This window comes from Homo sapiens, chromosome X, assembly GCF_000001405.40.
Source record: "Homo sapiens chromosome X, GRCh38.p14 Primary Assembly".
NCBI classification, from domain to species: domain Eukaryota; kingdom Metazoa; phylum Chordata; class Mammalia; order Primates; family Hominidae; genus Homo; species Homo sapiens.
In genome coordinates, this window is record NC_000023.11 from 13979211 (window position 1) to 14003690 (window position 24480).

At 43.1% G+C, this 24480-nt stretch overlaps 1 protein-coding gene across 6 annotated transcripts in view; it reads right to left on the reverse strand.

Moving 5' to 3' along the window:
* The window catches only part of GEMIN8 (gem nuclear organelle associated protein 8), a 45708-nt gene continuing 26202 nt past the window's right edge, over positions 4975-24480 (reverse strand). For 3 of the 6 annotated variants that reach the window (XR_001755703.2, XR_001755702.2, XR_950467.4), the window contains one exon: positions 22134-24194. The gene's annotated coding sequence lies outside the window, so the exon portion shown is untranslated. Of the gene's footprint in view, positions 7312-9479; positions 9620-19669; positions 19741-22133; positions 24195-24480 lie in introns of those variants that run through there. The other 3 variants (XR_950464.4, XR_007068192.1, XR_950466.4) reach the window with 3 other exon arrangements.

Sequence of the window (24480 nt, forward strand, 5' to 3'; positions counted from 1 at the left end):
GATCCCTTCTCAAAATAAATAAATAAATACAAAAACTAACTGTCCAGTAATAAGGAAATACTGGTTAAATAAACTATTTTGCACCCATACAATGGAATGCTCTATAGCCATATAATAAATGACCTGGGGGCTTATATGTGATTATATGATACAAGACCCAGTAAATGCAAACCATGCATGTAGTGTATTTTCATTTGTAATATAATGGATATCAATATATATTATTGTATACGTACAAAAACTTTCTGGAAAGATTCATTATGTTACACCTGGGTAGTGGGACTTGAGTCTAGGTTTGGGGAGGAAAAACTTTACCTTTCTCTTCTTTCTCTCTTTCTTTCTTTCTCTTTCTTTCTTTTTTTCCTGCTTTCTTTCTTTCTCCCTCTCTTTCTTTTTCTCTTTCTTTCTTTCTTTCTTTCTTTCTTTCTTTCTTTCTTTCTTTCTTTCTTCTTTCTTTCTTTGTCTCTCTCTCTCTCTTCTTTCTTTCTTTCTTTTTCTTTCTTTCTTTCTCTTTCTTCTTTCTTTTTTTTGACAGGGTCTCACTCTGTCACCCAGGCTTAACCTCCTGGGCTCAGGTGATCCTCCCACCTCACCCTTTAGAGTAGCGGAGACTACAGGCACGTGCCACCACACCCAGCTGATTTCTTTTTTGTTGTTGTTTTTTTTTTGGCAGAGACAGGGTTTTGCCATGTTGCCCAGGCTGGTCTCAAACTCCTGGGCTCAAGTCATCTGCCCACCTTGGCCTCCCAAAATGCTGTGATTACAGGCGTGAGCCACCACACCTGACCTGGTTCTCATTTTTTCAATGTGCATGTGTTAGATTTATTATAACAACGTAAAAACAGGTTAAATTATACTCTAAACATGGTTCTAATTGTAGAGGACTAAGGTCCAACTGTGGAAGGTAGTTATAAATTGTATGGACTCATATTATCTTTGTCAGCAATAATAAAAGGAACTTTGCAGAGGCTGGAAGCTGGATTCAAAAGAGAATCTAAGAAATAGAGACTTAATGCCGGGCATGGTGGCTCACGCCTGTAATCCCAGCACTTTGGGAGGCTGAGGCGGGCGGATCACCTGAGGTTAGGAGTTCGAGACCAGCCTGGCCAACATGGTGAAACCCCGTCTCTACTAAAAATACAAAAATTAGCCAGGCATGGTGGCAGGCGCCTGTAATGCCAGCTACTCAGGAGGCTGAGACAGAAGAATTGCTTGAACCCAGGAGGTGGAGGTTGCAGTGAGCCGAGATCACGTCATTGCACTCCAGCCTAGGCGACAAGAGCGAAACTCCGTCTCAATAAATAAATAAATACATACATACATACATAAAAGAAATAGTAACTTGACTGAAGTCCATGAGGTCAGATAAGGTTATCTTCATCTCCCAACCAACGTAACATCCCCACTTTCCAAACAAAACATATAGATGATTAGCCCCAAGCATACAGTAGTCTGAGAGAGTAAGGTTTGCATTATGCATCTTCTTACTAAGGGGTGACCTAGGGAAGGTTATTTAGGTCATCTCCATCAGTTATTAAGCTCTGTGTAAGACAAACTCTAAATAACAGGGTTTTAAAAGTGGTAAATGTTTTTTTTCCTGTCTTGCAAAACAATCATTCCAAAGCTGGGAACCCCAGGGTTGGTATGATGGCTCTAGCTCCATGATCATCAGGGATATAAACTCCTCGTACCTTCCTGCTCCATGTCTTAGCAGATTGCTCCCATCTCAAGGTTGCCTCAGGATTCAAGGTGACAGCTGGAGCTCTAGCCATAATGCCAGAGTTCCAAATAGCAGGAAGGTATAAGGAAGAAAGGACAAAAAAGTCAAGTCTTGATTGATTTCGCTTTCTTTAAGCAACCTCCCAGAGGGCCCACACACTTTTACTTAGCTCTTATTAGCCAAATACTTGTCACATAATCTCACCTAGCCACAAGGGAGGCTGGGAAATGTAGTCTTTTAGCTGGTGACATTGTTACCCTGAATAAATCCAGCCTTCTGTTACTCATGAAGAAGGGGAGATTAGACATTATGCGACAATTTGAAGCGTTTTTCTACTCTTTAAGCTTAGTTTCATCTGCAACAATAATAGGCTTTCCAGGGGTGATGTCAGACTCAAATGAAATAATGAATGCAATGCTCTATTAATACTTGGTTCCTTCCTCTTCCCTTTTTAAAATTGACTTTCACAGTATTGTTTCGTCTGAGAAAGCAAACAATAATGAAGGCAATGTTGATTATATCATTTCTTCCAACTTGAGTCTTGAGTTTTCATTTATATCTGGCATAGTTGATTAATTCTAGCTTTAGGAAAGGTTTGCCCAAAGCCCAATTTGTGCAAATATTGCTTGACTTTTTTAAAAAGGCTGAAGGATTGCTTGGCCAAATTTTAAATATTAAGAAAGCTATGCAGCATAATAGTGTCTGATTTAGATGGCTTGTGTTGGGTATGTGGGGAATTGTATGTAAAATCTCAGAGGCAAGGCAGTATGAAAAGGTGGTTAATGGCATGAGCTATGGAGTCAGGATTCTGGGTTTAACTCTTACCTCACTGCAGACTAGCTCTGTGACTAGGTTACATTATAACTCAAAGGTGAAAATATTTTAAAGATGTAATTACAGTTCCTAATCAGTTGACTTTGAGTCCGTCAAAAGAGAGATAATCCTGGGAGGGCCTGAACTAATCAAGCGAATTCTTTAAAATAATTCTCTTGCTGGTTTTAAAGAAACTGAGAACGGTCCCTCCACACTCTTGGAACTGTACACCCATTGGAACCTTAAGGTAAACCTAACCAGGGAAGCTTCCCCCCAGAAGAAGATGACATTCTTGATGTGAACAGCTTTTCCCAAGTTCATGGAGCAAGACTTCTCTACTATCATGAGACTGTTATCTTTGAATATTTTTCCTTGTTTATGCCTCTATGAACAACAGAAATGAAAAGGGGGTCTCTTATGTGCACTTATGGGGTATACTTTTATTTGTGAAGGATTTTGTGGCCAGCCTTATACATTGATAAACTTATACTTTGATAGATAAAAGATGAAAGCCCAGTGTAGGTGAGAAACTTTAATGGTACATACGTTGCCTCATAATCAGTGAAATACAGAACACTGATTCACTCCTCTTAACCCACATCATGGGTTTAAAAAAAATGCCAGGAAGCCTTCACTCTTCTAGAAGGGCATCATTTGTTAGGTCCTTTTTCCATGGTTTGGAATAAAAGAGGCAATGATTAGAAATGTATCCCTCGTGATAGGCTCTATAGGAGATTCTACTGTAAAGGCTATGGTTACACAACAGACTTTAAATTCTTTTGTGAAAGTTATGCTAAATAATAGAATTGGCTAAACAGAGAAGTATCTGTGCAGCTGCTGGCACTTATGCCCTATGGAGAAAACATCAGGTATTATAGAGATTCAGTTGCAGGGGATTAATGAGATTGCTTAGTAAAGTGAATAGACTCTTTACCTAGCTCATTCTTTGGGAGCATACTCCAAACTCTATCCTCCTGATAGTAATAATAATAGTCTCCCTGGTGTGCCAAATTCTCTCCAAGTTTTTAAATGTTTACATACAGCCACCTCTAGAATGCCAAATGGCCTCTCTTCAACTGGAATGACAATGGCTGAAAGAAATGTATGATCATGAGGTCATCGTAACCCATGAATGTCATGCTGAGACCAGAAACCCAAAATGATGGTAACTGAGAGTGGCACTAAGGCCGTAAGTTTTGTCACATTCTCACCTAAGCTAGAACCTGACCAAAAAGGGGGAATTTTTTAAAAAACAGCATTATGGGAGGCCACTGTTTTGGACTGAGCTCATGCACTATACCCCAACGCACAAAACCCAATCAAAATGGAGCTGCTCATGCTAAATGTGACATAACCAAACTAATACTTTAAGGAAACACATAGATCCTGGAACAGACCAGGTTTTGTTTTTCTCCTCTAAACAGTATGTTCTAGCATGAGGGGGTGACTTCTACTCAGTCCTTGTTCCTACCTTTGCAAAACTCACTGTTCTACTGTTTCCCAGTGGGTTTCAAGACCAAATAAGTACAGTTACGATGGTAACAGTGACATCAGTGACTAAAGTTTTGGTCAGGCTGGGTGCGGTGGCTCACGCCTGTAATCCCAGCACTTTGGGAGGCCGAGGCGGGTGGATCACGAGGTCAGGAGTTCGAGACCAGCCTGGCCAACATGGTGAAACCCCGTCTCTACTAAAAATACAAAAATTAGCCGGGCGTGGTGGCTCATGCCTGTAATCCCAGCTACTCGGGAGGCTGAGACAGGAGAATCGCTTGAGCCCGGGAGGCTGAGGTTGCAGTGAGCCAAGATCGCACCATTGCACTACAGCCTGGGCAACAAGAGCCAGACTCTGTCTCAAAAATAAATAAATAAATAAATAAATAAAAATAAAAATAAAATAAAGTTTTGGTCAATCTTTCAAAATTGAGAAAATGACCAAAAAGAGGGAATTGTTAAAGCAAACTAAATGTGGCCTGAGAAGGACTCCATAATTCTATATTTGAGTCCTTGTGGACAAACTGCAACCTAACTTAATATGTAGACAAGACTGAAAACCTAACTTAGGAGTATGTGCCTGTAACAATAGCTGAGTCTCGGCCAATCCCAGCAGCCGTACTTCAACCATTCATACACTGCTGAGTGTTCAAACTGTGTTCAAATAAGGCAAACAACAACTTGTAACCAAACCAGTTGTTTCTGTACCTCACTTCCGATTTCTGTGCCTCACTTCCCTTTTTTGTCTATAAATCTTTTTCAAAAGAAAAAAAAAAGCAAATTGTAATGTTGCAGAGAGAGCTGTGTGTCAGGGAATGGTGGCCTTTAGGAGCTGAAAATGGTCCCTGGCTGACAGCTAGCAAGAAGACTGGGATCTGAGTCCTACAACTGCAAGGAGCTAAATTCTGCCAAGAACTGTGTGAAGTTACAAGACGACTCTGAGCCTTAGATGAGAACGTGGCTCAGCTGGAAGCTTTATTTCAACCTTGTGAGACCCTGAACATAGAACCCAGTTATATAGTGCTTGGACTCCTGACCCATGGAAACTGTGAGATAATAAATTTGTGTTGTTTTAAGCTGCCAAGTTTGTGATAATTTGTTACACAGCTATAAAAATACAAATTCAGGGAATGATTTATCTCAAATTCCTCTAGAATAAGGGTCAGCACACTATGGCCTGGCTCAGATACCAAATCCAGCCTACCACCTGATTTTGTAAATACAGTTTTGTTGGAACACAGTCCATGCCCATTTCTTTACATATTGTCTATGACTGCTTTCACATTGCAATGCTAGAGTTGTGCAGTTGCAATGCCTAAAACATTAATATCTGGCTCTTTCTAGAAAAAATCTGCTGATCCCTGATCTAAAAGAAGACCTTGAGATAAGTACTTGAGAGCAAGGATTTACTCTCAGTAAGTACTTGAGAGCAAGGATTTACTCTCAGTAAATACTTGAGTGGTGATTCCAGGACACACTAGGCAAGTGGGAAGATGAGACAGGTAAAGGAAGGAAGCCAAGGAAGGGTGCATTATTGAGCTGGCTATCATTGTGTGTGTCTGGGGCTTAGTTTTGCCAGAAAGCTCTGGGAAACAGTATAGAACATGCACCTCAGAGTTCTATAGCCACTAGGGCAAGGGAGTTGGGGTATTTATTTACCAACTTGGGTCAGTCATTGGTTGAGGAATGCTGCTTCCACGGCTTTGAAGAAGGCCTTCGGGCAAAAAGATGGTGACAGGCAGCTTTAATTGGCAAAATTAAAGCTGGTGGATAGTGGTGGGGCAGGGACAGGGTCTGCTACAGGAGGAAAAGGACCTGAGGACAAGTCTAACTTCTCTCCATTGCCTCACCTCTGTAACAACCTCTCACCAGAGAAAAAGGTGTGACACCTCTAATTAGTGAATTTGGTAGAAGGAAATGAACATGCTTGGCTCAGGATTTTTTGGGTTATTTCTCTTCCAAATTTGCCTGCCCACTTAAAGGGTCCATTCTGGTTTGCTCTCCACTATGAAAGAAGCTTATGGGGTAAGCACTGCCCCCAGAAACAGGGGAGCCCATAGTTAAGTTCAAGTCAATGGGACTGCATTAGGAAGTCCATTTGGAGCTGGATTTAAAGCCATGCTCCTTAATCATCTTATTAGTAACAAAGTTGATTATTTCCTTCTCCACTGGTTGGACTTCTCAATTGGTCCTGAACTTGGGCAGAAAAGAGGGCTGCAATTTGTTAGGCTCTTAAACTCCACAGATGATTATTATTTTTATGTACTGACTTCCTTACGTTCTTAATATAACCTAACAAATTACTGTGAAAAACTCAACCAGTGCCCAATTTGTGGGATGGATGTATTGTGGCTATATTTGCTCACTATAGTTTCCTTATACGAAACAAGACTGAGTACAGAGTATTGAATGTTGTATTGGAAACCTACTTTTCCAATTAGTACACACAACTCTTTTTCTGGAAAGATGACAGAAAAGTGCTGTGTACTGAAAAATGCTCATGAGGTATTAATACTCTTCTCTTCATAACTTGATCAACAATGGCCTTTTGTGACCTAGAGAGACACACTATATCCTAAAACAGAAATAACAGATATGCATGTCTACCATAAAAAGAGACTTGCACAGGGAGTGCCATTTACCCCCAGAGAAAGTGGAAGGAAGCCATATATGAGTGAACAGTAATGCCTTTTATGGTTTCTTTTTCGAAACTTGATTCTTATCAAGTTTCTTTTTTACTTCATGCATAATGACATTCATACATATGAGATTCTCTGCTATTTGTGTTGTTTCTATTTAGTAACTACTGCTATTTCTACTGTGCTAAAAAACAAACAAACAAACAACAACAACAACAAACTTGAAACATCTTATGAAATGGCCCTAACAGAAAGTAGAAAGAAAATTGACTAAGGAAATGGAAAAGTTGGACTAAGCATGTTATAAATGTGGTTCAGGTGGACAGAGGATGTGAGCTGGGAGTCAATGATGGGTGAGATTTGCCATGCCTGTCTTACATCTTGAATAGCCCAGATCCTCACTCTTGACCTGGGGCTTTCTCATAGTATGGCTGGTGGCCATGTGTATCAGAAAGGATTAGCCCCAGCTGTAGGTAACAAAGATTTCAAATCACAGTAGCTCAAGAAAATGAAGTTTACTTCTCTAATGTCAAAGTCAGGGTGGGGCAGTCCAGAGCTGGTGTGTGGCTGCTGTGTTTCATGAAGTCTTCAATGACCCACACTCTTCTCGTCTCAATGCTCTACCATCTCCAGGGTGTTACCTTCCATCTATGGTGGAGAATGAAGGTCAGCCACTATGTCAGAATTCTGGGCAGCAGGAGGAGAAAGGATGAAGAAGAAAACTGTGGAATGGGCATGCACCAGCTGTCTTTTAAAGGAGGTGCCTGGCAGCAGCCACAGGGCTCTTTTGCTCACACCTCATTGGTCAGAACATAGCCACATGGCCACACCTAGCAGCAACAGGGGCTGAGAAATGTAGTCTTTACATGTCCCTGGCTGAAAACCAAGGTTTCTACTACTATGGAAGAAGGGACTTAGATATTGGGGGATGACCACAATGGGCCAGAAATTGTTCACTGGGATGTACCTTCCATATGTTGTTCCCAAATGCTGGTTCTAAGGACTGTTGCCAACCAACAAGAAAGTATTCACTAGGCTCTATTGAAATGTAAACAAATTTGTGCAAAGTACAGATTTTTTAATAGTTTTATTTAAGGAACTGTCCTTCATTCTGCCTTTATCTTGCCTTTATGTCTTATGGACTTTTTAATGTTAAAATGTTATTTCTTTTTGAAATCAGGATGGGAATATGTGGTTGTCATTGGCTACCCTGTGTCCTTACTCCTAATCTACTTGTGTTCTAGGCATTCTACTGCACTCACTCCAGGGAGCCCCTTCCTCAGTCTTTGACAGGCACCCCACTTGAGTGCTCTCAAGTCCCTTTTCCCATGATGGTGTAATGGCCTGTTGACTTGGGTAGTGGGTTCAAATCTTGGCCTTCAAGCTCTAAGGTGCAGAAATAAAACCTTATTTTTCTGCATTTGATGTTAATTTCTATTTCAACCCATCATTCAGCAGAGTGAGGAAATGTAAATTTACTAGAATCATGACTCTTCCCTTTTCTGTGGCATTGGGTCTAAGTTTGGAGTTGGGGGTGGTGGAGGTAGGGATCTGGGCTTTGGGTCCTCTGTTCACTTCTGCATCACCTGAGGTGTCCTCTTCTTGCTTGGCTCTTTGTCACCCTTCCCCATGACTTCTGTTCCTCATCCCATTGTCAAGGGCCTATCTGGCCAGGCTTTCTCTCAGCTCTCCAGTTTCCACTGGGGGACATGGGAATAAACAGATGTGTTCTCACTGCGCTGGGTCACAGGAACTTCTGTGGAGCTCCCTAAGACACTGTCCTCTTCTGCCAACCTCTAATGTATGGGGAACACCCTGGCACACTCATGCATGGCTATGTGAGACCCCTCTTCCAGAGACCATAGGCCCATGTTGTAGAAGGCTTTTGCTTGCAAGTCAAATGGCTTAAAAGTATGGATTGAATCATTTTATATAGCAAGAAGGTTGGAAGTAGACAGGCTAATTCAGGTAGTCAGCTCTATTAAGCTTTCTCAGCCAATCTCTTGGCTTCCCCCTTAGTTATAACATACTTGCTGTGATGCCAAGCACCGTGTTCTCTCCTGACCATCCAAAGCAGCAAGAAATGGTATTTCACTTTCTTTCAAGAAGGAAAAATCTTTACAATACCCTTTCCCTTCACAAGTCATTGGGCAGGACTGGGTCACTGGATTACAATGGCTGGTTTAGAGCAATCATGATTCATTCCCTGGGGCTCAGTACATTGTCACCCACTGTCTGAATACTATTAGGGTTAAGGACAGCCAATAGTGTCTGCCACAGATTCTTTCTGTCCTCTCCTTACCCTAGAATCTTCTGGGGGTGGGATGCGGGCGTAGCAATTCTAGGACCAAAAGCATACTTGCGCACGTACAACTGCCCCTCTGACAACCTCCCTCCCACAGGGAGTCATCTGGTGGGGAGGAGTGGCTGGAAGAAGGTGGCAAAGTATTGTTTTATATTCTTCAATATTGATGGTATTTCCACATATGAGTTCTATCTGTCTCTCCTGAGCATGAGGCTTTCGGAACTCAAAAGCCCAGAGGTGAATCGTATTTTCACCGTTTCCAGATCTCATCCCTTCTCTCAGTTAATAAACAACTGAGCAGGGGCAGGGTTACAGGGCAGAATATTTTCTCATCACACTCATCTGTACCACCAGGTAGACTGCAGCTCCTTGAGGGCAGAAGCTTGCCCTTGTATCCCCAACACCTGACACTTAGCAAGTGGTCAAACTTGTCACAAACTAAAAAGATAAAGAACCTCTCCTAGGAGCAGGAAAGGGAGCTATTAAATAAGTCAACAGATTGAACACTAACCTTTGCAACAAGTCCAGAGAGATGATGTTTCAGGTCCCCCAAAGTTTCTGATTTTTCTGATCAGGACAATGAGGCACACTAGATCAAGCCAAGATGACTAGAGTATCATTCCATGTCAATACAGGATTAAGAAGTCACGCCTGTTTCACGGAAAGGGAATGGAAAGAAAGGGTCAAAGTTGGAAAATGTTCAAGATGGAAGGGATTTTCTGCAGTGAGTGCTACGGTGCCCAACAGAAAAATGGTAGAACTGGGTTATAGAACTTGAATTAATGCAAATTGTTATACTTTGGAAAAATGGTAGAACTGGGTTATAGAACTTGAATTAATGCAAATTGTTATAGTTTGAGTAAGAGCAGGTTGAGAGTTAAAGCTTACCTATGAGGAGCAAAACTCTTCTCTTTTTAATTAATTTTTTGAGAGAGGGTCTTTCTCTGTTGCCCAGGCTGGAATGCAATGGCACAATCAGGGCTCACTGCAGCCTCAAACTTCTGGGTTAAATGGATGCTCCCGCCTCAGCCTCCTGAGTAGCTGGGACTACAGGTGCATGCCACCAACCCTGGCTAATTTTTAAATTTAAATTTTTTTTTTTTTGGTAGAGATGAAGTCTTGCCATGTTGCCCAGGTTGGTCTAAAATTCCTGGCCTCAAGCTATCCTCCTGCCTCAGTCTTCCAAAGTGTTGACATTACAGGCGTGAGCCACTGTGCCCAGCAAAGACCATGTTTTTGACTTGTAGTATTATTAGTGTTTTTAAAAAAATTGTTGTTCTTGGTATTTCCTTTATCCTTTGGCCTTCCTGCCAACTCACAAACTCAAGCCCTGTCATTCTGTCTGCACTCATTGCTAAAAGAAGTATTGAGATGCAGAACACAGAGCAATGAAGAAACTCTTCCTGCCTTCTAAATTTCAAATCCTGGCCCTTAGGCCAGATTTGTACAGCGTTGTTAGGTGGGCCCTGTTTGGTGGCACTGCTCAGATCCAGTGTGCACTGACATGGGATTGCTTCCTCTGGGAAGAGAGGCGCCTTGGTCTTATTTGCACAAAGATGCCATAGGGGTTTGAAACAGCCTGCGCCTTAGCTGAGAACAGAAAGGGTTAAGGTTTAGGTAATAGATTTAGAGGAGTACTTGAGTGAGAGTCAGGCTTCACACATAGATCCCACACACAGATTTCAGAGACACTCATAGAAGTATATTATATCCTTTTCCCCTTTGAAAACATCTTCTTGCTTCTTGACACATGTGGTACAAGTCTACACTCATTTGCTCCAATGCACTGCAAACCAGTACTGTCCAATAGAGCCATGTGCGATCATGAAAATGGACTATTATGTGCTGTCCATGTGGCTGTTGGGCACCTGAAATGTGGCTATGTGACCAGGGAATTGCATTTTAAATTTTATTCATTTTAATTAAGTTAAATTTAAATGCCACATGTGGCTAGTTGTTACTGTATTGGACAGTGCAGACATTGAACATTTCCATCATTGAAGAAATTTCTATTGGACAGCATTATTCCTCCAGAAACCAGTCCTGAGATAGGACTTGAAATTCATTTGGAAGAGTAAGGGTGTGGGAAAGGGAGACAGAAAACAAAGGCAGCCAGAAAAGGCTGTGTTGTTGAGCGCATCTGCTCTGGGGGCAACTGCAGCTGAGTCATGCTGGGGAACTCTGGGAACAGATGTACAGCATGTACCTCAGAATCATCCCACCCAAGAGGTGAAGGAGTTGGTATATTTCTCTACGAATTCCTGCCAATCACTGATTGATGGCTGCCCCAGGGTGTGTGGCTTCTCAGCACTTTTACCTTCAGGCAGAGTCACAGAAGAGAATGGTTGGAGTTGGCAGGGCTTGAGTGCATGGGTCACCCACAGTGCCTGCCTCCTTCACTCCTGACCCCCAGGCTGCTCTCCAGGCATGGCCATAATGTATCATGTGCATCCTTGGAGACACTTTTGCATACATAAGTATAAATGCATATATGTAAAGAGATGTATTTTTTCCATTTATCCAAATGGGCTAATTCCATGTATACTCTTCTGCACTTTGCTTTTTTGTTTTTGTTGAGACAGGGTCTCTGGAGTCCAGAGCTGGAGTGCAGTGGCGTCATCATGGCTCACTGTAGCCTCAACCTCCTGGCCTTAAGCCATCCTCCTGCCTCAGCTTCCTAAGTAGCTAGGTCTACAGGCATGTGCCACCATGGCTAGCTAATTTATTATCTTTTGTAGAGACGTGGTCTCACTATGTTGCCCAGGCTGGTCTCAAACTCCTGGGCTCAAGTAATCCTTCCACCTTGGCCCACCAAAGTGCTGAGATTACAGGTGTGAGCCACTGCGCCTGGCCTGCACTTTGCTTTTTGCACTTAAAAATATACCTTGGAGATTCTCTGTTGGAGTCATTTCTTTAACTCCTTTTCTTGGCTGTACTTATTACAAACAAGTTCAGACTGAAAGAGAAAAGAGCTGCAATGGCTTGGCTGAAAGAATGCAAAGAGCCTTGTGTTTAGCTTATGGATTTAAAAGGCAAGCTGTTTGTTGAGATTGCAGAGTTTGGTTTAAGGCATTTTGGGATGGAGTGATTTTCCTGTTAAAAACAAATGAGAATTTGCTTGGTGATAAACTCAAGCAGTGTGTGGGCTGATTAGACAATAGAGCATACAATCAATGCATTAACCTCCTAGGATGACTGCAGCAGCAGATGGCAGCTGTCTCTGAGGGGGGACATCCTTAGCTTGTCCTGAACAGAGGCATCAGAAGTCCTGAGTTGGGGCCCCAGCTCTGCCATTGACTTGTGTCATTTTTGAAGCCTCGTGGACTTTCAGGGCCTCTGTCTTCTTGTCTATTAGGTGAGTATGCTAATGCCTGTTCTACCTCCTCTCAATGGGTTTGATGCGTGGACAGGCCAGTGTTACAAATCCAAATGTCTTCAGGGCTATTCAGGCAAGTAAATGAGTCAATTGAGGCTGTCCTAAGTAATAGGGAGTAGTGGGGACTATAGCTAAGAGGAGAATAAATGACATACACGCACACACACACTTTTCCCATCTCCCGTTTAAACATTTAAGCAAATACTATCCTAACCAGATAAACCACATCTGTGGACTACTTGCAGCCTTTCAGCAAGAGGTGACATCCTATAAATTTGAGTTATAACCTCCAAGGAAAGGAGGTGGCTCTGTTGTGACTGTTTACTGAGCCTAATCCCTATTGACTCTTTCAAAAACCATGTTCTTCCATTTCAATTGTCTCTTCCTGCGGCAATGAAGAGAAGCTTGAAGTTGGCTGTGAAAATGACTCCAAAATGTCAGTGGCTTGAAACAGCAAAGATTTATTTCTTGCCCACAGTACTCGTCTACTGGCCATGAAGCTGAGGCTGAACTCAACATCCTCATTCATGAAGCCTGATGGGAACTCAGACTTTATTCTCTGGCAGTTTTTAATCTCTACCAATAAACAAGTGAAAGATATACATGTATACAACGTAAATGTCAAATAATCCTTCACAAACTTAAGACTTAAAAAAGTAGTAGTCCTGTGCCTCACCTCTCCACACCTTATTCTGACTCTCAGAGGCCACCATTTTCAGGTGGTGACAAATGCTGTGGGAGAAATAAAGGCATCAGAGGGGTTAAGGAGTGCCCTGCTGTGGAGGCATTGCAGTTTTAAGTAGAATATTGAGAAAGTGACATTTAAGAAAAGGATGCAGGGAGTGATTTACATGGATACCCAGCAGGCAAGCTGTATAGGTAGAGAAATGTCAAAATCCAGGGGTGGGAGTGTTCTGGGCTGTTCTGGATCAGTGCTCCTCACATAGAGGGGTAGAGGAATCCCCTGAGGGTCTTGATGAAATGCAGACTCTCATTCAGTGGGGCCGGAGAGGGACCTGAGACTCTGCATTTCTATTGAGCTCCCAATTGATGCTGATGTTACTGGTCTAGGGGCCACATTTTGAGAAGCAAGGTCCTAGAAAAAGTTAGGAAGTCAATGGGGCTGGAGCAGAATGAGAGAAATGGGTGAGTAGAAGGAACCGATGACAGAAAGATAATAGGGGTCCAGATCGTGCCATGCTTGTAGGCCACTGTAAGGGCTTGAGCTCATATTGCAAGTGACACAGGAGCAGAAAAGTGACGATCTGGCTTATGTTTTAGAATAGATTGTAGGAGGGCAAAGGCAGTTAGGAAGCTATGGAACTAATCCAGGTGAGAGATGGTGATGCTTTGGACTAGGAGGAGGTGGTGGGATGGGAGAAGTGGGGAGATCCAGCAGGCTTTCTGATAGGTTGGTTGGAGGCATGAAAAAGGAGTTGCTTGAGCACCTTGAAGGGTGGAGTTGCCATTTCTGCACCATCTCTTACATCTATCTTCTCTCTCCAGTTCCACTGCCACTTCTCCAGGTTAGGCCCCATCAATTCGCATTACTGTCATCGCCTTTGAACAGATACTATAAACATATTTGTCTTGAGAAATGGCTTTGTTCATTCCTAACCTTTGTAAAGACCTTGTGGTTGCTCACAGCATCCATGGTTTAGCAGGGAGGACCCTTCATGAACTGGCTCTTCTCCATGCTTCTATGTCATCACTCTGCTTCATGAACTAATTGTTCTAGCCCAGGGCTTCATGACTGTCTCCCCATCATGATGCACAGGATATAGGGGGTGTTGAGCTGTGAGATATTTGCAAACACTGGCACAGTCACCTTAAGGCCACCACATTGTCTCCCAGTCAAATGCTTTAATCTGCTTTTGTTGTGTATACTTTTTTTTTTTTTTTTTTTTAAAGAGACAGGATCTCATTCTGTTGGAGTGAAGTGGTATGACCTCCTGGGCTCAAGTGATCCTTCCACATCAGCCTCTTGAGCAGCTGGGACTACAGGCATGCACCACCATGCCTGGCTAATTAAACAAAAAAAATTTTTTTTATAGAGATGAGGTCTCATCATGTTGCCCAGGCTGGTCTGGAACTCCTGGCCTCTAGCAATCCTCCCACTTCAAGCCTCTCAAACTACTAGGATTACAGGTGTGAGCCACCATGCCTGGCCTGGATGTATATAGTTTAAGAAAGCAAACCATTTGTAAACTTTCCTTCACTGTTCTTTTATCATTATATCAAATTATTTACATCTGTGCTACTCAATGTGCAGTCTATAGACCAGAGCATCACCTGGGAGCTTGACAGAAATACATGTTCTTGGACCCCACCCCAGACCTACTGAATGAGAATCTCTGACAGCAGGGCCCAGGAATCTGTGTTTTAATGAGCTCCCCAGGATATTCTAACACATACTAAAGTTTGAGAAGTAGTACCTGTCATACCTCAAATTAAACATCAGTAGGTCCCCACACCATAGTTGAGAACAGCCAACTTAGCCTAGTGGGTGCAACTCTGGCTGTACAGGAATCACCAGGGAAGCTTTAAAAAACAAAACCAAAACCAGCAATGGCTGGGCCCCGATGACCAGCGATTCTGCTTTAATTGGTCTAGGGTGGGATCCAAGTGACTCTAACATGCAGCCAGGTCTGAGAACCTCGCAAGCTGGCAGACGGATCTCCATTCTGTTTCCAACACACAGCCGTATTTTCTGCCTTGCACTGTTCTCTCTTCCTGGAGTGCTTGTTTGTGCCATCTCCATGTTGCCAACTCTATTCATTCCGGGAAGCTGAGCCCAGACTCAACTCCCACACACATTGGCCCCCGAGCTTCTCCTCCCCTCAGTTCCTGCTGCATCTGAGCTGCACTGTCCTCACTAACCAAAGTCTCTACTACCTTTGTCACATTTGTTACTCAGTTTTGTTACTTTAAAAATTTTTTACTACATAATGTTTGGTGTAATATCCATTTCTGATCTCTTTTATATCTTTGCAGTGACCCAGAAAATGGTGGATGGATGCTTAAAATATGTTTGTGGTGAAAGAACAGTTCCAGTAGCATTGGAGAGAATTCACATTTTATTGAAACCTCATGGGTGGCTGCTATGGCACTTGTGGCCAAATGTGACCCTTACATTGTACTCTTGTTAAAATGAGGCCTCATTCCATGAAAAACTGTTCCTCAAACTGTCCCATGGAGTATTTGTGGTCAGCATATATGAATACCATTCTATAGAACAACTGTTCTTTGACCAGAAAATAAAAATTAAGAAATACTACAAACCACACGATTTCTGCATGTATTAGTCAGGGTTCTCTAGAGGGACAGGACTAATAGGATAGGTGTCTATATGAAAGGGAGTTTATTACGAAGAATTGACTCACACAATCACAAGGTGAAGTCCCACAACAGGCTGTCTGCAAGCTGAGGAACAAGGAAGCCAGTGGTGGATCAGTCAGAGTCCCAAAACATCAAAAGTAGGGAAGGCGACAGTGCACTTAAGTGCCCACTGGACCATGCTGGTTCTGTCACCTGCAATTATAGGAAAACCTCCTCTTCTCCTTTTCTCTTCTTGAATTTGTTAGCTCACTCAATGGCGACATTACCCCCAATCTCCCAAGCCAGGGGCTCAACTCCCTATCAGGATGGTAAAGTATAGCACAGAGGCAAGGGCTCAGAAAGACTTGAAACCTGGGTTCAATCTTCACCCCTCAATGACGCTTTCTAGCTTGCTGGCTTTGGACAAGTTACTTAATCTAAGTTCATTTCTGTATCTGGGAAATGAGAAATTGACTCCCAGTGTTGTGCTGGGATGAAATAAGGTAGCATATGTAAAGTGTTCAGTGCACAGCAAGCTCGTATTATTACACTCATCACTAACCAATCACACATTTCCCATCTCTATTGGTTTCCTGTTACTGCTGTGACAAATTACCATAAACTCAGTGACTTAAAGCACACAGATATGTCCTTTTATAGTTCTGGAGGGCAGAAATCTGAAAGGGGTCTTACTGGGCTAAAATCAAGGTGTTGGCAGGGCTGCATGTCTTCTGGAAGTTCTAGGGGAGAATCCGTTTTCTTGATTTTTCTGGTTTCTAGAGACTGCCAGCATTCCTTGATATATAGCCCCTTCCTTTCATTACTCCAACCTCTGCTTCTCACATTCCTTCTTTGACTCTGACCCACCTCCCTCCCTCTTATAAGGACCCTTGTGATGACATTGGGCCCACTTGGAGGATACAGGATGCTCTCTCCATGGCAAGCTCCTTAACTTGGTCACATTTGCAAAATCTTTTGCGATGCAAAGGAATGTATTCACAGGTTCCACATTGTGGAACGCTGGACACACTGGGGGGCCTATCACACCATCTCAAGGACCCACGTAGGTCAACATCCATGCCTACCCTGTCATTTTCTAACTTCCCACTCTGTTTGAAGCTAATGTGAAGCTCAGTCAAATCTAGCTGGCAATGAGGAAGAGCAGTCTGAAGATCAGCATATCTGGTAAATCTGCAATGCTTGTCTTGTATGTCCATTATATAAAATGGGGACATTACGACATTTGGAATATTTAAAATGGAAAAGAGAAATCATAGAACCTACTATTTTTAAGGATTTGAAGGCCTACCACATGGATGCGATCTTGTGCTTCTGTGTCCACAAGATGGTCCTCTATTAAGTATAATATTGAATTGACTAGCCATTAAATCTCCTTCCAACTCTGTGATTCTCAAAGTCATAAGACAAGGGCTAATTGTATATCTGTATTAGTTCGTTTTCATAATGCTGATAGAGACATACCCAAGACTGAGCAATTTACAAAAGAAAGAGATTTAATGGACCTACAGTTCCACGTGGCTGGAGAGGCCTTGCAATCATGGCAGAAGGTGAAAGGCCTGTCTCACATGGCAGCAGATTTGTGAGACTTATTCACTATCATGAGAACAGCATGGGAGAGACCTGACCCCATGATTAAATGACCTCTCACTGGGTCCCTCCCGCAACACATGGGAATTCAAGATGAGAGTTGGGTGAGGGTACAGCCAAACCATATCAATATCCATAGTTACATAGGAGCTTGGCAAAGAAATAGAATCTTAATCCTATACTCTAAGCAGTAAAATTCTATAAGCTATCATGTGAAAAGGAACACAAAAGGGGTGCAGTAGATTACTTGCAAAAAAGGCTGCAATAATTTCTCCCATCCCTGTATGCACATCCTCTTGCAATGTGACTCAAAGCTCTTCCCATCAAGAGGTGGAGCCTATTTTTTCACCCCTCGAATCTGGGCTTGGCCATGTGATCTGCTTTGGGCAATGGGACATCAGAAAATATGAAGAAAGCAGAGGCTTATAAAACGCTTGCATGCTGTGGCTTGTCTTTTTTTTTTTTTTTTTTTTTTGAGACAGAGTCTCTCTCTGTTGCCAGGCTGGAGTGTAGTGGCGATATCTCGGCTCAGCTCACTGCAACCTCCACCTCCCGGGTTCAAGCGATTCTTCTGCCTCAGCCTCTGGAGTAGCTAGGACTACAGGTGTGCGTCACCACGCCCAGCTAATTTTTGCATTTTTAGTAGAGATGGGGTTTCACTGTGTTGGCCAGGATGGTCTCAATCTCCTGAACTCGTGATCTGCCCACCTTGGCCTCCCAAAGTGCTGGGATTACAGACATGAGCCACCGTGCCCGGCTGGCTTGTCCTCTTTTGTTGCTTTTGGGACCCTTGTTATAACTACCATGGGAACAAACTCAGGCTAGCTTGCTGGAGACATGTGGCCCAGTTGCTCCTATTACTTTAGCAGATAACCATAAGACAGCCAGCTCCAAACCCCAGATATGTGATTGAGGCCATCCTAGACTAACCAGCCCCTGGCTGACCCATCAGCTGACTGCATCTATAAGAGTGAGCCCAGGGGAGACTGGCAGAAGACCCACCTAGCTGAGCCCAGCCTAAGTTGCCAACCCACATAAAAAATGGTTAAGTCACTAAGTTTGGGGACGAGTTGTTATGTAACAAAAGCTAACTTACACAAGGGGCAATTTTTCTGATCAAAAGAATCATAGAGGCCGGGTGCAGCGGCTCATGCCTGTAATCCCAGCACTTTGGGAGGCTGAGGCGGGCGGATCACCTGAGGTCGGGAGTTCGAGACCAGCCTGGCCAACATGGCAAAACGCCGTCTCTACTAAAAATACAAAAATTATTAGCCAGGTGTGGTGATGCATGCATGCAATCCAAGCTACTCGGGAGGCTTGAGGCATGAGAATTGCTTGAACCTAGGAGGCAGGGGTTGCAGTGAGCCGAGATCATGCCACTGCACTCCAGCCTGGGCGACAGAACAAGACTCTGTCTCAAAAAAAAAAAAAAAAAAAAAATCATAGAAGTGATGTATCTTAAAAATCCCGGAGGCAAGAATAAATTAATAGTCACGACGTATTTTTAAAATTAGGAGAAAATTTAACCTCTATGAAGGAAAATCCACACTTCAGCTAATGTGACCCTAGGTATGTTACTTATTCTTACCATTTTTGCTTTTTTTTTTTTTTTTGAGATAGAGTCTTGCACTGTCATTCTGACTGGAGTGCAGTGGGGCAATCACGGCTCTCTGCAGCTTGACTTCTCAAGCTCGGGTGATTCTCCCACCTCAGTCCCCCACATAGCTAGGACTATAAGTACATGCAACCACACCTGGCTAATTTTTAAATTTTTTTTATAGAGAGGGGGTGATATGGTTTGGCTTTGTGTCCCCACCCGAATTTCATCTCAAATTGCAATCCCCACGTCAAGGGAGGGACCTGGTGGGAGGTGACTGGCTCATGGGGGCAGTTTCCTCCTTGCTGGTCTTGTGATAGTGAATTGAGTTCTCACGAGATCTGATGGTTTAAAAGTATCACTTCACCCTTCGTGCTCTCTCTCTCCTGCTCCACCATGGTAAAGACATGCTTGCTTCCCCTTTGCCTTCCGCCATGATTGTAAATTTCCCGAGGCCTCCCCAGCCATGCGAAACTGTGAGTCAATTAAACATATTTTTTTTAAAAAAATAAGTTACCCAGTCTCAGGTATGTCCTTATAGCAGTGTGAAAACAGACTAATACAGGGGACCTCACTATGTTGCCCAGGCTGGTCTCAAACTCCTGGGCGCAAGAGATCCACTTGCCTCGACCTCCCAAAGTGTTAGGATTACAGGCATGAGCCACTGCACTTGGCTTCTTATACTTACTTTGAACCAACTTGTTCATCAGAAAATTGGGGCTTATGCTTTATAAGGTGGTTAGGAGAATACAAGGCAGGTAATGTGTGTAAGTTGTCTAGCACTATAACACATATTACATACCTTGTAAAGGCTGAATCCTTCACTTTCCCTTCTGACTTGTCATTCTGGTGTCACTGTCAGATTCTATAGCACTCAAAAGAAGAAAAAAGGCTTTGTAAAGTCTTTTTTTAGACAGATAAAAATATATCTCCTCCCTTTGAAAAGTGGAACAAGTATAACTGATATAAACACAACTTGCAAAAATCGATATTAAATTTTTGTTTTTTTTTAAAGCCTTCTTATTTTGGAATTATTTTCAAATAGAAAAGTTATACAGACAGTGCAGAGTTCCTATACACCCTTACTCAGTTACCCTCATTGTTAACATTATACATAACTATGGTACATGTGTCAAAACCAAGAAATTTACATTGGCATATTCCTGTTAAATAAAGCTACGGGCTGTATGTAGATTTTTTTTTTTTTTTTTTTGGTGAGACAGAGATTTACTTTTGTTGCCCAGGCTGGAGTGCAATGGTGTGATCTCGGCTAACTGCATCCTCTGCCTCCCAGATTCAAGTGATTCTCCTGCCTCAGCCTCCTGAGTAGCTGGGATTACAGGCATGTGTCACCACGCCCGGCTAATTTTGTATTTTTAGTAGAGATGGGGTTTCACCGTGTTGCCCAGGCTGATCTTGAACTCTTGACCTCAGGTAATCCGCCCGCCTCAGCCTCCCAAAGTGCTGGGATTACAGGCGTGAGCCACTGCGCCCGGCCGGCTGTATCTAGATTTTACCAGATTTTCCACTAATATCCTTTTTCTGCTCCAAGATCCCACATTGCATTTAGTTGTCATGTCCCCTTAGTCTCCTCTGTGACAGTTTCTCAGTCTTTCTTTGCCTTTTGTGACCTTGAGGATTTTGACTCATACTGGTCAGGTATTTTGTCAAATGCCCCTCAATTTGGGCTTATCTGATATTTTTCTCATGTTTAAATTGGGGTTATGGGTTTTGAGAATCCCACAGAGGTAAAGCTCCCTTCTCATCATATCATATCAGGTTGTCCACAACATCAGCAGAACTTACGACTGGTGATGTTGACCTTGATCACATGGATAATATGGTATCTGCCAGGTTCTTCCAAAAGCTGTTATTTTCCCCTTTCTGTACTTTGTTGTTTGGAAGTGAGTCACTAGTCTAGCCCACACTCAAATGGGGGAGAGAGAGTGAGGCATGGTGGCTCACACGTGTAATCCCAGCACTTTGAGAGGCTGAGGCAGGAGGATTGCTTGAGCCCAGGAGTTTGAGATCCACCTGGGCAATATAGTGAGGCCCCATCTCTTAAAAAAAAATTAGCTGGGCATGGTGGCTCATGCCTACAGTCCCAGCTACTTGGAAGTGTTGAGGTGGGAGAATTGGTTGAGCCCAGGAGGTTGAGACTCCAGTGAGCCAAGATCACACCACTGTACTCCAGCCTGGGCAACAGAGCAAGACCCTGTCTCTAAAAAAGAAATTTAGGCCGGGCGCAGTGGCTCACGCTTGTAATCCCAGCACTTTGGGAGGCTGAGGCGAGTGGATCACAAGGTTAGGAGATCGAGACCATCCTGGCTAACACAGTGAAACCCCGTCTCTACTAAAAACACAAAAAAATTAGCCAGGCGTGGTGGCGGGCGCCTGTACTCCCAGCTTCTTGGGAGGCTGAGGCAGGAGAATGGCGTGAACCCGGGAGGCGGACCTTGCAGTGAGCCCAGATCGTGCCACTGCACTCCAGCCTGGGTGACAGAGCAAGACTCCATCTTGAAAAAAAAAAAATTTAAAAAAGATGGAGATGGAGGGGTGAGTCCCACATCTTGGAGGGGCTAGTATCTATAGCTATTATTTGGAATTATTCTGTAAGGAAGATTTGTCTCTTCTCTCCATATATTTATTTATTAGTCAATCATTTATCAGTATAGACTCAAGTATTTTTATGTTATACTTTGGGTTACAATCTAACACCATATTATTTATTTTGTTGCTCAGGCTGTCCAGTTTGGCCACTGGGAGCTCTTCTGGGAGTGGCTTCTGTGCCCCTTTGACATGCCGCCGTCCTTTTATTTTGTTTTGAGTATATTAGCTTTGATGTAAAACTTGGTTTTCTTCCCCATCTATCCACTGAAATTGCTTTAAGGTCCTTCAGATGACAATGGTTTCTAGATTGTCTACTTTTCTGTCTTCAGCTTATCAGACCTCTCCGTAACATTTAGTACTGTAAAGCTCTTTCCTTCAAATTCTATTTCATTTGAAAAATTTACTACGAAATTTTCAAACAAAAACAAAACTAGAGAGAATAGCATACTGCATCTCCACGTGTCCATCACTCGGCTTCAGTAATTCTCAACATTTTGCTGATCTGATTTCAACTGTTGCCTCTCCCATGCCCTGTCACTGGAGCACTTTAAAGAAAACCCCAGGTATCATATCAGCTCAACTTGAAATAGTTCAGTGTCTTTAACAGATAAAAACTAAACGAACAAAGAAACAAAAAACCCATAACCATAAAACAATTATTATACCTAACAAAGTTAATAAGTCTTTAATATCGTCTAACACTCGGTCCATACTCAAATTTCTTCAATGATCTAAAAGTGTTTTAATAATCAATTTGTCCAAGTTAGGACACATACAAGTTCCACACCATATCCCATAACACCTCCTCGCCCTCGCCATCACTCTTTCTCCAACATGCGCTTTTTTTCCCCTGAGACAGAGTCTCACTCTGTCGCCAGGCTAGAGTGCAGTGGCGCAATCTGGGCTCACTGCAACCTCCACCTCCTGGGTTCAAGTGATCCTCTCACCTCAGCCTCCCAAGTAGCTGGGACTACAGGTGTGCACCACCACACCCCGCTAATTTTTGTATTTTTTGTGGTTTCACCACGTTGGCCAGGATAGTCTCCATCTCTTGACCTTGTGATCTGCTCGCCTCGGCCTCCCAGAGTGTTGGGATTACAGGTGTGAGCCACCATGCCCGGCCCCAACATGTGCTTCTTAAAAGTCCATTTGTGGCCTGGCTTGGTGGCTCACGCCTGTAATCCCAGCACTTTGGGAGGCCGAGGTGGGCGGATCACCTGAGGTCAGGAGTTAGAGACCAGCCTGGCCAACATGGTGAAACCCCGTCTGTACTAAACATACAAAAAAGCCGGGCGTGGTGGTAGGCACCTCTAATCCCAGCTACTCTGGAGGTTGAGGTGGGAGAAACCTTTGAACCCAGGAGGCGAAGGTTGCAGTGAGTGAGCCAAGATCACACCACTGCACTCCAGCAAAAAAAAAAAAAAAAAAAAAAAAAAGTTTGTTAAAGAAACTGGGTCTTCCATCCTATGAAATTTCTCACATTCTGGATTTGGCTGATGACATCTTCAGTGTCTTTTAATATACTGGTCTTCTCCCTGAACTTCCTGTGACTGGTAATTAGACATAGAGTCTTGATTAGATTTCGGTTGCAAATATAGATGATAGATATACAGATAAGATGGGTAGAGATAGATAGATAGGTGATAGATAGATAGATAGATAGATAGATAGATAGATAGATAGATAAATAGAGTTCTTCAGGGCCCCACTGTCACAGGTCAATTCCTCTTAGTTTACATACTGTCCCTTTTTCCACATTCCTAAGGCCGAGGGCTGAAACATCTATATTTTTATTTTATTTAGTTATTTATTTATTTGAGATGGAGTTTCGCTCTTGTCGCCCAGGCTGGAGTGCAATGGTGCAATCTCGGCTCACTGCAACCTCCGCTCACTGCAAACTCCGCCTCTCTGGTACAAGCCATTCTCCTGCCTCAGCTTCGGGAGTAGCTGGGATTACAGGTGTGCACCACCATGCCCAGCTAATTTTTGTATTATTAGTACAGACAGTTTTACCATGTTGGCCAGGCTGGTCTCGAACTCCTGACCTCAGGTGATCCACTCACCTCGACCTCCCAAAGCGCTGGGATTACAGGCATGAGCCACCACGCCCGGCCAACATCTGTATTTTTAATGCAGGTCCTCTCTATTGAGTTCCAAACCCAAATAGCCAGTGAGTGGTAGGATGTCACTGGATGTTTTTTGAACTCCTCAAATTCACTGTGTCCCAAATGGAATTGATTGTCCCTCTCAAACCTGTTTCTCATTGTTCGCTTTACCTCAGTGACTACAACTTCCATCCAAGACACACACCTGAGCCATCCTAGGCTGGTTCATCACCTGGCCCAAGTCACCAAGCCATGGGATGTCTATTTCTTCGGTGTCTCTGGAATGTGTCCCCTCTTCTCACTGCCTTAGCCTCAGTTATAAAATTCAGTTAAAGAATGCAAATGCATTATCCAGAGTCACACGTTCTCAAGCCCAGCAGGGACTAGACCGTAACCTCATGCTCAGCTCCAGATTCAGCTCAGCTCCTGTGCTTTGAAGACATGTACCTTCCACTTCCTGTGAATGTGGTTGTTAGAACCAGATTTCAGCATGCTGGAGCAGCTAACGGCAGGGAAGTTAGGAGTCAGAATATCTGTGTTTGAAGCTCACATCCATCACTTGAAGTGAATGTGGTGATGTTGGTTAATTTCTCTGTGCTTCAGTCTCCTCATCTGCAAAATGACAATAATATTCCTTCAACACATTTCTGAAATTCCCAAAGGTCTGAAAACTGGAAGGGTTTTTCTTGTTTTAAAATTTGTTTGGCAGCACAACCTGACTTGACCTTAATGATTTGATGACAAAACCTGACCTGGATGGAACTGAGGATATTTATGGTCTGTATTTATCATACTTAGAATATTCTTCCATTTTATAGTCCAGCTATCTTGGTGGCAGGCTACCCTAGCCCACTGGGCCAAGTTCTAGAATATGCTGTTTTACTTTTCAAAAGTACAA